The 14,777-nt window shown below is 49.7% G+C and overlaps 1 protein-coding gene across 3 annotated transcripts in view, besides 1 other annotated feature; it reads right to left on the bottom strand.

Annotated features, from left to right (window-relative positions):
• PLB1 (phospholipase B1) overlaps positions 649-14,777 on the bottom strand; it is a 148,083-nt gene continuing 133,954 nt past the window's right edge. For all 3 annotated transcript variants that reach the window (NR_138141.2, NM_001170585.2, NM_153021.5), the window contains 5 exons: positions 14,127-14,205; positions 12,651-12,755; positions 11,752-11,847; positions 3,790-3,864; positions 649-1,933 (listed from right to left, as the gene is read on the bottom strand). Coding sequence is in view for 2 of the 3 variants with exons in the window: in NM_001170585.2 (NP_001164056.1) it covers positions 1,730-1,933; positions 3,790-3,864; positions 11,752-11,847; positions 12,651-12,755; positions 14,127-14,205 (559 nt within the window). In the remaining variant the exon portion in view is untranslated. The remainder of the gene's footprint in view (positions 1,934-3,789; positions 3,865-11,751; positions 11,848-12,650; positions 12,756-14,126; positions 14,206-14,777) is intronic.
• Positions 4,875-4,944: an enhancer, noted in NCBI's record as "active region_15522". NCBI's record gives its function as "activates an Ori minimal core promoter by ATAC-STARR-seq in GM12878 lymphoblastoid cells {active_cell/tissue: GM12878}" and the evidence as "EXISTENCE:reporter gene assay evidence [ECO:0000049][PMID:35858748]".

Raw genomic sequence — 14,777 nt, 5'->3', positions numbered from 1 at the left:
GAAGCGAACTCCTTGACTTCCTATGTTACCTTTGTCGTTATACTGTCTCAAACCAGGAGTGTAAGGGTTACCTTTGTCGTTACACTGTCTTAAGCCGGGAGCATAAGCTGGGATGTGTGACTTGGTCACCACGTTTTCCAGTCTATAGGAAAAAGCAGGGGAATGCATGCTGTTCCCATTGTATAGAAACAGACACTGAAGCCCAGAAGAACACGGAACTGGGTATAGGTCCTCCGGGTTCTCTGTTGTGACAGAAAGAGATAAGGTGATGAACCTCCCTGAGAGGAAGGCGGGCACTCTCCACCCATATGTTATTACCCCATTTCCCCAAACTCATCTCTGGGTCTCACATCTTCCCCAACAGTCTGGGCCTTATCCCAACTCTTCACCGAGGAAAAAGGCCATTTTCAGTTGTGCAGCATTTTAGAGTTAGAGGTTCACACACGGTTCCTTATTTTTCAGCAGCGCCGTGAGATAAGCAAAATGTGTACTCTTACTCCAGTTTTTACAGATGCAGAGCCTGGGACACTGGGCTCAGGCTGGCGAAGGCAGCTTCAGGGCACAGCATTTCAGTGTTGCATCCGGGATTGTGACTCAGGCTCTTTATCATCCCGGACTTCAGGATCAGAGAGAGGTTTACAATGCAGATGATGTCTACCTCCCTGGATTCTTTTTTATTGAAGTGAAATTCACATGATACACAATTAATCATTTTAAATGGAACAATTTGCGGCGTTTAGTACATTCACGGTGTTGCGCAAGCATCACTTCTATTTTCAAAGATTTTCCCTTTACCCCCTCCCTGGGCTTTTGTGCAGCATAAAAGAGACCATCTGTGGAAGGCCTCCAGCACGGGGCCTCGCCCCTAGCAGGGGCTCAGTGAATGCAGCCCATATTTTCAGACTCTCTCTAGTTTTCCCTCAGAAACCTGGGCATATAGAAATAGGAATTTTTTCCTAAATTTAGCACCTTGAGAAAATCAGGTTGAGAATATAGGAGGTATTTGTGTCCCAATCATTTTTTATTCCTTTTCCCAAAATGACATGTGAAGGTTGCTCTCCCCCAAGAAACTTTCCCCGAAGAACCCTTTCTATTCTTTAAAACAATCAGACACATTTACCTACTGATGCCCTAGTAGTTACACATCATCACGTGGCTTCTTGGTTATTGAAGGAGTTTGACCTCTCTGCCAGGCTGCGACATGCACAGCCTAGGAGGCACCTCAGTGCTTCGCATTGTCCTGGATACAAAACAGTTGCTTAATAGGTATGTGTTGGATTGGACTGAATGGCAACCAGCCAGCTCCAAAATTCCAGCCACCACCTGGTGACCAGCATTTTTTCTGCCTTTGAAATAGTGGGTTTGGTGACTTGAGGATATGCTCGTGGTGGCAGGCAGTTTGGGCTCTGGTTGGTCGTGGCTTGGGCAGCCCTGCTGGAGGCAGGCCACAAAAAGTGGCAGCTCCCACACCTGGGCTGCACAAGAGATGGAAGGTGAGTGCTTCACGCAGGCAAACCCAGGAATAAAATAGCTTTGGACTTTATTTAAATGTATCCATTCCAGGAGCATAGGCCTGGAAGAAGCCCAGGCCCCAAGAAGTTGTGACTGTCCCCTGGGCTTCCTATGGCACCAGGCATTGAAGCATGTCCTGGTGGCCGGGAGTGGCTGGGGCAGAGGGCGGTGAAGAGAGTGGCTATAGGGAGTTTAGGGTGAGGACCCACCCCCGGGCCTAGAGGGCCACAGTGCGCAGGCTCATTGGAGGATCTTCCCTCCGGCCACCTCTCCTGCACCTCCAGACCACTGTCCCGATGATGCCCACCACAAGGCCGACTCCCGCTGCCACTGGGACAGCCCAGTAGAGCACCTCGGGGGCTTCTTCAGCCTGGTCTGGGAGCAATCGGCTGTTCCGCAGGGTGTAGAGGTAAGGGCTCTCCTGTGGAGGAGGAGCGGGGGTCAGTGGAAAGGATCTCCGTGAACCATCCATCACCAAGCCAAGACTTGCCTAGTCCCCATTCCTGAGATGCTGCGATAACCCTGCACGTTTTCACAGAGCTTCCCTTTTGTAAAGCTCCCTCATTTAGGCTGTGCCCAAACCCTCTTTAGCGGGATGGGCCTCTAAAGAGGTCAACACCCAGCTAGAACCTTCTTTTGGTTTCTCACCAGCGTTTCCTTGGCCATCAAACCTGATTTTGAAAGATTGGGAACTGATAGGTGACCAATGGCAGAGAGCCCTGTGGGGCCTGTAGAACTCCCACCTCTGCTTCCTCGTGGTCACAACTGTCCCCATTCTCCCATCCCAGGACTACCCAGAAATCAGGGAAGGGCAGCATGGAAGGACAGCTGGTTTTGTAGTAGATGAAAGATCCCCAAATCAGAAGGGCCGGGAGGGGAGGCATGTGGGCAGATCGTGTGCGTTCTTGCCTTCCTATGCCCCTCTCCACTCTCCTCTCAGTGAATGTGAATTGGGCACGTGCTGTGTTTAGCCCCCTTGCTGGAAGCTGTGATGAGACTGGAGGGTTAAGATGTGACATCTTTTCTTGTGGCCCAGGAGGAAGTTGAGATGTGCAGAAACAATCACATCATAAAGGAGACTGGGTCGGTGTCTCATGAGAGGTACAAATAGAAAAGGAGACCCACATGGGTCAGTGTCTGGAGACAGGAATGGTAGGTAAGAGACGGTGAAACCATCGCTTAGTAAAGGCAACATCTGGACCTGGAGGGAGGCGGATGTTCTCATAGCAGATGGAAGATGAACCTCCAGGAACAGATGGCAAAAGGAAAGGCCTGGATGCGGGCAGTCGTGGGGCTTCCTGGGAGATGGATCCACCGGCCAGGAGTGCAGTGTGTATCATGGAGGGAGGTGACCCTCCCTCCAGACTCTGGTCAATGGGCAGTAGGGATCAGGCAAGGATTTCAAGCAGCCTTGATGGGGCAAGTTATTTCCAGGAAGGTCTATCTGTGTCTGGCAGCAAGTGTAGGGTGGATGGAGAAGAGGGAGAGGAGAGCTGGGGAGACAAGTCACAGGCTTCGAAGGTGGGCCAGGCAAGGGCAGTGGGTGTGGCGAGGGAGGAAGACCATTGCAGGCTCCAGGAACAGACACTGAGTCTATTTTATCTTTGCCTCCCGATCCCCAGATCCTAGTATACTGCCTGGCACGGGACAGCTGCTTGATGCACTTTATTTTTGAGACAGTCTCACTCTGTCACTCAGTCTGGAGTGCAGTGGCATGACCTCAGCTCACTGCAACCTCTGCCTCCCGGGTTCAAGTGATTCTCCTGCCTCAGCCTCCTGAGTAGCTGGGATGACAGGCGCCCGCCACCATGCCCGGCTGACTTTTGGATTTTTACTAGAGACGGGGTTTCACTATGTTGGCCAGGCTGGTCTTGTACTCCAGACCTCAGGTGATCTGACCGCCTCGGCCTCCCAAAGTGCTGGGATTATAGGCGTGAGCCACCACGCCTGGCCTTGGTGCACTTTTAAGACTGAGGATGCATCAGAGCTTTCGGAAGGAATGGGTGACCCGAGACACCCGCCAGTGCTCATCTGCCTCCCTGAGCGACTGTCCTCCCTTCGGTTGGAGCTGTTGAACGTCCTCTCCCCTCCCTCCATGGCTGCCCACACACTGAGAAGTTTCCGTGGCACTGGGGACAGGTGGGATTTGAGAAGACGGCAGTGAGTGAAGCCGCATTTGAGGGAGCATCCCCGGGGACTCCTCTGTGCTTCCAGGGGACAGGACAACCCCCACCCCAGGCATCTGTTCCACCTGGGGCAGGCAGGACGTTTACTCACAGGAGAGGGGCACTTGAGTTTGGCTCGGCTGTGGGTGAAGTTGTTGGAGGTAGTCTTGCGGCCCACTGGTTCCAGCTGGAGAGAGAGAAAGGACACCTCGATTCTCTCCAAAGCTGGGAGACACTTTCCTCTCTGAGGGGGTGTCTCACACCAGAGCCCCTCCCTCGGGAACGGGGTGGGGGATAGAAACCAGCGAAGTGGCTGGTTTTTGGCCCACAGCAGGGACCCAGCAGCCTGGGGCTGAGCGGGAGTTGACTTATGACACACAGAAGGCTAGGCAGCATCTGTCGGCAGGGCAGAACCCTGAGTCTGTGCCCCTGGATTTGCCGGGTACAGCAAGGCCCAGGAGAGACCACCAGTCCTGAGTCCACAGGAAGTCTGCGGAGGGGCTGGGACCATCTCTGGCTTCCTTTGTGAGTGGCTGTGATTGCAAGACACCGTGTTTTCAATTTTATAAAACGACGACAATCCTATTTACCAACTTCTCAAAGTGCATGGGGCTAGTCAACCTTAGGAAAGTTTGGAAACATATTGGTTACCATGACATCATTACTGCACTTGACTTGTCAACCTTAGGAAATCGGAGTTTCTCACTTGCGCCACTTTGTATGTTTTCCACATAGATGAAAAGATTTATCTGAAATATCCCTGGGTGTAAATACCTTTGATCCCAGGACCCTCTGAGGATGAGCTGGGAGCTGCTGTATCCCCCTCCCCGGCACCTTTTAGCCAGCAGCCAGGCCCAACCTGTGGCCAGCACTGAGAAGAATGAGCCCCTGGCACTGTCACCTATTCAGAGTCTGTTTGGAACGTCTAGCCTCCACTCTTTGTGTAATCTGCCTGCTCCTGACCACAGGGTATTGCCAGGGAGGGAGGTGAAAGTTCACTATCTGAGCTCATGACCACACCTGGCCCATGATCTCACTTTCTGTTGTCTGAAGGCCTTTTACACCCGTTCCTTAGTAACACAATTGGAGGAGGGAGGGCAGTTCTGTTCCTGGGAGAGATGCTAGGGTGACTAGACTGAGCACGATGGGCAGATGGCTGGGATCCAGGCTCTGCTGGTAACGAGCTGTGCAGTGCTGGGCTGGCTACTTCTCTGAGGTTAGGGACAGGCATGACATCCTGTCCTGACACCTTGGTTTGTTGTGAGCATCAAATGAGAAGATGGCATGAAAGCACGTGTGATTGGGGTGGCTTACATACATAAGGTAGTATTATTTCCACTTTCTTAAGAACTGAGGAAACTCAAGTCTATCGTAACAGTGACAGAATAAATGCTAAAGGTCAGCGCGGCTGATTCCCGATGCTATTCCAGGAACCCAGAACTAATTCACACAGAAGATGATCGTGATTACAAGGGTTTGATGAGTGCATCAGTTTCTCCCTTTCTACTGGTTCCTTCTCGTCAGTACACAACCTGCTCCGACATCTCCCCTCCTTCACCTGCCCTTTCTTTGATCCATGTCCCCTCCAGTGACCGTGGCTGTTACTTCTCATAACTTCTGGGAAGAGCTGTCTATAGGTGCTGGCAGCACTTCCTAATCTCTCCTTCTCTCTGCTGCTCGCTCCAGCCAGTCTGCAGTCTCCATCGCTGGATGGAAGCTCTGGCCCTGGCCACCAACGATCGCCATATGGGCAGAGCCAAAGATCATTTTTTTTTTTTTTTGTCTTCAACTTGCTTGGCTTCTCAGAAGCATCCATCAAAGTTGACAGCTCTGTCTCTCTTGAAACACTGACTTCTCTTAGCTCTCTGGACACAGCATTGTTTCTCATTTCCCATCTACCTCCACACTCTCCTTCTCATCTCTCACTGGAGTTGAAAGCTGGAATGAATGCCCAGGGCTAGGTAGTTGGCCTTACACTCTTTTCTACCTACCTATTCTTTCTCTAGGAGCTCTTAGTTGATCCTGTAGTGGCTTTTTTTTTTTTTTTAGATGGAATCTTGCCCTGTCACCCAGGCTGGAGTGCAATGGCACGATCTCAGCTTACTGCAACCTCCACCCCATCTCTGGGTTCAAGCAATTCTCCTGCCTCAGCCTCCCTGAGTAGCTGGGATTACAGGTGCATGCCACCACGCCTGGATAATTTTTGTATTTTCAGTAGAGACAGGGTTTCACCATATTGGCCCTCTATGCTAATAACCCCACTTTTTTTTTTTTTTTTTTTTTTTTCAATCTCCAGCCTTGACTTCCTCTGTGAGTTCCAAACTTCTGTATCCTGATACCTCTATGTGGATGTCTGGAAGGCAGTTTGCACCATGTCCAAAACAGAAGTCTTGATTTTTTTTCCTCCCACGCTGATTTTTTCTCTACCTGCTCAATCATCCACCCAGTTTCTTAGACCCCAAACCAAAAAGTCATCCTTTGTTCCTCTTCCCCATCATCCATCCGCCAGCCCACGACAGCGTCTCTCCTCCTCTGCCCTGACCCTACTCTCAGCCCCCTTCCTCTCTCACCCATCAACAGCAGCCTCCTAGTGGTCTTTCCAGGTCCACCCTTGCTTTCTTCCAGTCCAGGGTACACGGACCCAGGGGTAAGCCAGAGCATATCACTCTACTGCTTAGAAGCATCTAGGGACCTGGCCCCTGCCCAACTTTTTCACCTTGTTCACTTCCCTCTGGTCACATTGGCCTTTAAGTTCCTCAGACACTTCAAGCTCATTCCTGACTCTAGGCCCATGTGGGTCCTATTTCCTCTGCCTGGCAACCCCTTGACATGCGCTTCTCAATTCACTGTCACTTCTTCAGGGAGGCCTCCCTCTCCCCCACCATTACTCTGTATCACATCACTCTGCTTGACTTTTTCTTAAACCACAGATGTGGTCAGAAATGACCTTGTTGATTATCTGTCTTTTCCCTACTATCCTGTATGTCCCATGAGAGTAGCAGTCATCTTTTCACTGCTGAGTCCTCAGCACCTGGAGCAGTACCTAGCACATATTAGTGCTCAGTAAATACTTGTTTGATGGATGGATGAATTAATTAAATTCACAGAGACCTGAATGGAGAAGCTTGGCGGGGGAAGGCTTGGAGCTGGCCACAGGGAATGAAATTGTTTTTCCTAGAACCAGTCTTTCCTAAGCCAGGCACTGTGGCTACCAACCACGTAGCAAATGACAGGACTGGGCAGGGTGTAATGGACCTGGGTGGGCCACTGGCCTGTCCTGGAGATTCAGAGGTAGCTTCCTGCAGGAGGTGGCACCTGAGTTGAGTGGTGGAGTGGGCAAGGAGGTGAGAAGGGCAATCCAGGAGAAGGAGGAGAGCAAGAGTTAGCAGAGGTGTGTAACACCACAGGTGGTGCAGGACGCTGCTGGAGTCACTAGACTGTAACATGCGAGGCAGACGCTGGTGGAAATGGTAGCCAGAGAGGTTAATCAGGTGAACCAGGCCAAGTCCCAGAGGCCTAGTGTGCTGTGCTATGGGGCCTGGCCTGCCTCCTTCAGAGGTGGGAGGCTTTGGAAGTTTGAAAGCAGGGGAGTGACTGGGTCAGGTTTTCTTTTATACAGATTACTTGATTTCTCTGTGGGGACCAGATCTAAGGCAGCGGTTCATAAACCCTGCACATTAAAATAATCTCAGGAGCTTTCACAAAGTACCGAATCCAGCTCGCACTCCAGACCAATTAAGTCAGACTCTCTGGGGATAAGCCCGGTCAGGCACTGATATTGTTTTTCAAGTAAACTTTTTTTTTTTTTTTTTTTAAATTTGAGACAGAGTTTTACTCTTGTCACCCAGGCTGGAGTGCAATGATGCAATCTTGGCTCACTGCAACCCCTGCCTCCTGGTTTCAAGCGATTTTCCTGTCTCAGCCTCCCAAGTAGCTGGAATTATAGGCACGTGCCACCACGCTTGGCTAATTTTGTATTTTTAGTAGAGATGGGGTTTCACCATGTTGGCTAGGCTGGTATTGAACTCCTGACCTCAGGGGATCTGCCTGCCTCGGCCTCCCAAAGTGCTGGGATTACAGGTGTGAGCCACTGTACCCGGCCTCAAGTAAACTTTTAATTGAAGCTAACATACACATAGAAACGAGTACAAATCATAAGTGAGCAACAGATAAGTTTCGATAAAATGAACATACCAGCATCCAGTCAGGCAACAGACTATTATAGTCCTCAAAAGCCCCTTTCCACCTTCTTCCAGGACTATTCATCCCCCAGTGAGTCTCTACACCATCATGCTGACGTCTAACCCCATATGCCAAGCTGCTTGCTTTTGAACTTTATAGATATTATTGTATGTTGTTGAAGTTTGTTCAGCTGTCACTTCTTCAGTGAGGCCTCCCTCTTCCCAGCCATTACTCTGTGTCACATCACCCTGCTTGATTTTTGTTTAAAGCCACAGATGCGGTCAGACCTGTATGGTATTCCTTAGTATGAATGTGCCACAGTTTACTCACCCATCCTACTGTCAGTGGACATTTGGGGAGTTTCTAGTTTGGGGCTATTTATAAATAGTGCTGCTGTGAATATTTTTGTGTGTATCTTTTGGTAGACACATATATACCTTTCTTTTGGGGATATACCTAGGAGTGAAATCCTTGGATCACAGGAAATACATGTGTTCAGCATTATTAAATATACCAAAGAATTTTCCAAAGTGGCTGTAGGCACTAATTGTTTTAAAAGTCCCTGGATGGCCAAGCATTGTGGCTCACACCTATAATCCCAGCACTTTGGGAGGCCGAGGTGGGTGGATCTCCTGAGGTCAGGAGTTAAAGACCAGCCTGGCCTGGCCAACATGGCGAAACCTTGTCTCTACTAAAAATACAAAAATTAGCTGGTCATGGTGGCATGCACCTATAACCCCAGCTACTTGGGAGACTGAGGCAGGAGAATCGCTTGAATCCAGGAGACGGAGGTTGCAGTGAACTGAGATGGTGCCATTGCTCTCCAACCTGGGCAACAGAGTGAGACTCTGTCATACATACATACATACATACACACATACACATACATACACACACACACATACACACACATTCATACATACATACACATACATACACACATACACAATGTCCCTGAATGATTCTAATATGCAGCCAGAGCTGAGAGTCACGATTCTAAGAGCTCTAAGTCTGAAGACAGGGATGTCAGTTAGGAGGCTGGAGCTGTCACCCAGCACCTGGGGAGATACAAACACTGGCTGAGAGCAGGATTTCTGCAGAAGAGGGAGTAGAGGCAGCAGTAGAGGACTAGGCCTCGGGAAAGAGAAACTTCTTCAGATAAGAAGACAGAAGAAGGCAGAGGAAGAGGAAAATATCCCCTGGTGCTGCTGGAGCTTCTGGCTTTGCCTTTGCAAAAGTCTCGAGAAGGACGTGAGAGGAGGGGCAGGAGATGAAATAAGATGAAATAGTTTAAGGTGCTTTTTGCTTCCTAGTAGGGAACCCTGGGAACATCAGCCAAAGCCTGCAGACACTATGTCATAGGACTCTAATTGTGAGACATGAATTCACCGGGTATATATGTGCTTATCAGGTTGGGAGCAGTGGGGAGGGTGGTGGCATGCCCAGGTCACCAGGAAAGGACTAGAAAAACCTGGTCTGTAATCCCCCTTGTGCCATGAACAGTCTGTGTTATGTTGGGCAAACTGCTTCATGTTTCTATGCTTTAGTTACAGAATGTTCTGGCTAGATGACCTCTCAGTCTGTTCCAGCTCTAATGGTCTATTATTTATTTTTTGTTACTCTAGGGGTGAAATTCCAGCCAGAAGCCGATCTGAAAAGTTGGCATCATGCTACAGCTTTATGTCTAAGATTGGCTTTGGATGAAAACATTAGACTGTATAATTATTTCCCCAAATTATAGAGCCTAGGATAAGAAACCCCTGGATGGCTTTAGTTTTGTTTTTGTTATTTTGAAATTCGGGGTATGGCTGAGATAATAATGGCTGGGGAACCATGGACAGTCTTGTTTTGTTTCCACAATAGCTCCAGTGCGGTGTTTACGTTTTGTTTTCATATCTAAACTCCTCCCACTTATCTTTATGAAATAAAGGCCTCTTACCTGGGTGAATGGGAAGAGCTACTGAACTGCTTTAGAAGAGAAGGCCAGAGCTACATATATTTTTTTTTTCTATTTGTTTTTTGAGATAGGGTCTCACTCTATTGCCCAGGCTGGAGTGCGGTGGTGCCATCTCGGCTCATTGCAGCCTTGACCTCCCATGCTCAAGTGATCTTCTCACGTCAGCCTTCTGAGCAGCTGGGACTACAGGCATGCACCACCACACCTGGCTAATATTTTGATTATTTTTGTAGAGACAGAATCTCCCCTGTGTTGCCCAGGTTGGTGTCTAATTCCTGGGCTCAAGCGATCCACCTGCCTCGGCCTCCCAAAGTGCTGGGATTACAGGCATGAGCCACCGTGCCTGGCCAGAGCTACATTGTTAATTCACAAGAAAAGAAACCAATGGACTCTTTTTCATGTTCCAGCCGTCACTATGGCTATCCAGCCCCAGGAGATTCCTGGAGGGTCCCAGATTTAAGCAGACTTGGAGTGCCACCTGGTAGGAAGGCCATACCTTGATGAAAAAACTGGGAAGGAAGGGCCAAGGGCATCTGTGGAATCCCCTGAGGTCTCAGGGGAAAAGGAACAGGGAATAGGTACCCTTTCTTTGGGAAGATTTTTACAAAGGAATAAAGTCACATGATTCAGCCAGTGAAGGACAACCGCCTTCAAAACAAAATCCACAAAAGAAACAGGAATTATACCATATAAACTGATTTAAAAATCGTGGGGCAAACTCAAAGACATTTTGGTTACAATCCGGAGTCTTGGGCTGAAAGAGTACAATAGAAGTTCTTGGAGTGGGCAGGTACGTGATGTCCACAGGAGGAAAACCCCCTGACAATGGAAGTCGACATAAGCTGAGTCTGCCATTAACTAGGCCAAGGATAAAGCCAGTTTACATGCTGTTCTTAAAAGAAGAGGTTGCTAGAGAGGAGGAGATGGTATAGCTAAGGAGAAAGTCAATATTGTGAGTCAGCCGAGTGGGATGCTGGACATACTGGATGAGCTGACAGGGGTGGGAACGTTTGCACAGCGGTGGTTGGCAGAGACACTATGGGCCTGAAACTGTGATAAAAGGAGCTGGAATGTAGCTTGTTTAGTTGTCATAGGACAAAGGAGGGAACATACAGGTTGGGGTGGGGATTGTGTTACCCACTGAGCCTGGATTAAAAGAAACCATTGGGTTGGGAAGGCATTTCATTTGCTCCGTGCAAGAGGATCCAGTTGTTGGGGGTGACAGGTCAAGTGCTGTGCGGAAACCATTCAGTTGCTGGTGGCCAGCCACAGAAGGCAGAGTGGAAGCACCAGGCAGGTGTCCCTGAAAGACCCCCAGACTGTATGTTCATTTCATAAGGTCCCTTCTTCCCATCAGAAAGGACTGGAATAGGTATCAGCCTCGGAAAACAGGCTGTGTGGATCTCCACTTTTCGATGTTTAGAGAAATGAGTTGGGTATGAGTTGAGCCCGGAGTGCTTGGAAGGCTGATGGTGGTGACATTTGCTGAGTGCTAACTATTGTGCTAGGTGCCATGTACACATGATCTCAATGCGTTGTCTGAGACCTGTCTTGTTTTCACTGTTTTATAGATGTTGATACAGGTGGCCAGAGAGATCGTTTGCCCAAGGTCACACAGTACGAGGTAGAAGTTGGTATTTTCATCTAGCCAACCTATCTGATTACAAAGGGATCCCCTCGCAGTACCTGGGCATTGCTGAAGGAACAAAGAATAAAGTTGTGTGAGTGTGTGTTTGTATAACTTTCAAAGGGTGTTGGATAAATATAGGGTATTTTCCCTTTGGAATTAATCTATCAGGACCAATAAGGTGTGCTGCCACTTTGGGCTTTGGGGAGAAAGGAGCCATGTCTCCAGTAGTTTTGCCATTGTGAGACAGAGTGTCAATATCCTTAGATCCCCCCTTGACAAGGCCCACCAGGCCCTTGGCTGCTCACCATGTTGTTCCAGAGTGCGATGGCCATCTCGGCATGCCCGCGGTCTGAGAAGTGAAAACAGTCCTCGGAGAAGAAGGTGAGGTCAGTGTCCCCTCTCTGCAACCAACGGCAAGGAGGTTATCATCCTGGGAAAGGGCTCTGCTACCTGAGCCCCACTCACTCTCCCAGCAGGTGCCCTGGGCATGTCTCCTTTCATTCTTTCAACTTTCCTGCCAACTTGCTCAGATACTGATGGAAAAACTCCCAGAATTTAGAATTTCTTTTTTTCTTTTTTCTTTTTTTTTGAGACGGAGTTTCGCACTGTCAGCCAGGCTGGAGTGCAGTGGCATAATCTCAGCTCACTGCAACTTCTGCCTCCCGAGTACCTGGGATTACAGGTGCCTGCCATCACGCCCAGCTAACTTTTTGTATTTTTAGTAGAAACGGGGTTTCACCATGTTGGCCAGGCTGGTCTCAAACTCCTAACCTCGTGATTCAACCGCCTTGGCTTCCCAAAGGCTGAGATTACAGGCATGAGCCACTGCACCCGGCCGGAATTTTCTTTTTAAACAGACAAGAATTGGACCCACCCATAGTCTCTCCCTTTTCTTTCAGCACCCCTATCCTAAGAGTTGAAAAGAGTAACATTTTTAGGAAGCTTTCCATTCTATCCCAATCCAGAAAACATCAGGGCCAGGCCTGGGAGCTTAGTCACTATTGATTTCCTTTCAAAGTACATCTGAGTTCCAATCACAGCCCAGCCCCCACAAAAAGGAGGTAATGTGGAAAAAGCCACCCTCAGGAATCCTCTTGGAGAGAGATGGTTAAAAAAAAAAAAAGCCCACTTAGAGAAGGAAATACATCCATCGTCTGTGATAAGGCCCCCATACGTGAGCCTCCCTAAAATACCTGCAGCTCACCTCGTTCAGTGGGGTGAGTGTGTTTTGGAAGAAAGGCTGCACCACAACCGCAAAGTCCTCACGCTGTGTGTATTGGTGCCAGTAGGAGAAACTGGAGATGCCATGCTGGGGACAGAGAGAGAAGCTGCTCAACCCTCCTGGCAAGGCTGCACAGACAGGGTCCAGTCCTGCTGCCTTGGATTGGTTGTTGACGGGAGTCAACTCACCCTAAAGGACAGTGACTTTAAGGGGCTACTCTAGTGGGATGCAAACATACTTTTATTCTCCACCCATTCATGGGCACGGACATTTCAAAGCCCTATGCTGGTTCTCAGGATCAGAGATGAGTTGAACCCAGCGGCTCCTGGTGGGAGAAGCTCCCTAGCTACACAGCTCCACCCAGTCCCATTCCAAAGCCTCTGCCTGAAAGGCTGGGTCTGAGCCACTGACCAGATTGCATAGGCCAAAGTCCTCCCCTCCTCTCACTGCACGAAGAGGTCAATTAGAACATGGGGCTGCAGGTCAGATGGGGAGCATCTCAACACCAGCTCCCAAAATGCCCATGAACTTTGCGGGAGGAGAGTCCACGGTGGCTGGATTTAAGTACCCAAGCATGGAATGTAAAAGGAACAGACTAGATGTACTTATCTTCAAGGAGTTTATCATCCATCTGGAAAAATGAGCCAAGATGTGAAAACATGAGAACCCTTTGGGGCTTTTAGGGCCCATCAAGTACAGACTGAATGTGATATGGGGAGATGTCCGCGGGTGAAGTTCAGGCAGGGGAAGCTCCTTAGAGGAGGGAAGCAGACTTGCCTTGTGAATGAAGGAGGGTCAGTTTGCAGAATGGAAATGCTACCTGAGCCTGAGAGGGAACAATAGAGGCAGAGACATAAGCAGGAGTGGAGGTGGGGAGATGGAAGGGGGCAGAGAGAGGGCAAGGAGAATTTGAGGTAGAGTTAAGTAGGGCAGGGCTAAGCCTTTTTCTTTTTTTCTTTTTTTTTTTTTTGAGATAGGGTCTCACGCTGTTGTCTAGGCAGAGTACAATGGCATCATCATAGCTAACAGCAGCCTCCAACTCCTGGGCTCAAGCTGTCCTCCCATCTCAGCCTCCTGAGTAGCTGGGACACCAGACGTGAGCCATTGTGTCGGGCCTAAGCCTTTTGTTTTTAATGAAGGGAGGGGAGGAAGTGAGTAGTAATTATTACACATGGCTCTGGGTGGGGAATGGGCCCTACCACAAGGAGTCTACTCTGGGAATCTCTTGCTGCCTACCCGCTGGGAGAAGGGGATTTTCTCAGCTTCCACTTTGGGGTCTCTCACTCCCTTCCCTGGCCTTGGTGTTCAATTTGCAGGGGTAAGTATTTCAGGGGCTGCAATCTGCTTTTAGGGAGTGGCTTGCTCTTGGCCACATCCTGCTGGGCATTCGATTTCCCAGTCCTTGGAGTACAGGGGGCCCCCCAGCTGGGTCAGTAAGAGAAGGGCTGCAGGGCTTACCTGGAGGTTCCAGTTCACTTTCTTCAGTTCTTGCTTCTCCAGGGAGCTTTGCGAGTGTCTGAGGCAAGTGCAGTTGTTCCTGTGAGACAGGGAGTGTTGTATTGAGGCTGCCTGGGGCACTGTGGCTCTGTCCTCCTGGGAGGCTGGCTCTGACACACAGAGCAGGCCACTACCCCAGGGGCCTGCAGCCTGTGCTGCCTTACCTAGGGCGGGGGGTGACACACAAGTATCCCCACAATACACCTTTGGCTGATTCTTGGACCCAGGTTACAGAATGCTAACTCAGGAGCCCTGAGGTCCAGAGGATGATTGTTCATAGAGAAAGAGGGAAAGCTGTTGCCTGGACCTCCCTGTGGACAGAACGCCTATTCCCCTTCCTCCTTCCCAAGCCTGTGGTCCCTGGGATTTCTCCAGAGCAGGACTGGGTAGACAGGAGACTGGAGTTTAGGAAACCAGCCACAATGGCTCTGTCCCTGGGTTTGGAATCGCTCCTCAAGTTCCGGGGGCCTCTCAGCTCTTCCTGCAACTGCTTAGGACCCTCCCTCAGGGCTCCAGTGTGGGAAGTCTGTGGGAAAGCTGGGGAGGGCCAACCGGCTGGAAGCAACTCTGACAACATGGAACACGATACAGACAGACTCTGGAGGAGCCGTT

The sequence above is a fragment of the Homo sapiens genome, chromosome 2 (assembly GCF_000001405.40).
Source record: "Homo sapiens chromosome 2, GRCh38.p14 Primary Assembly".
Lineage (NCBI taxonomy): Eukaryota > Metazoa > Chordata > Mammalia > Primates > Hominidae > Homo > Homo sapiens.
Note: the sequence above shows the minus strand (reverse complement) of the source record. Positions and strands in the feature narration are given on the sequence as shown.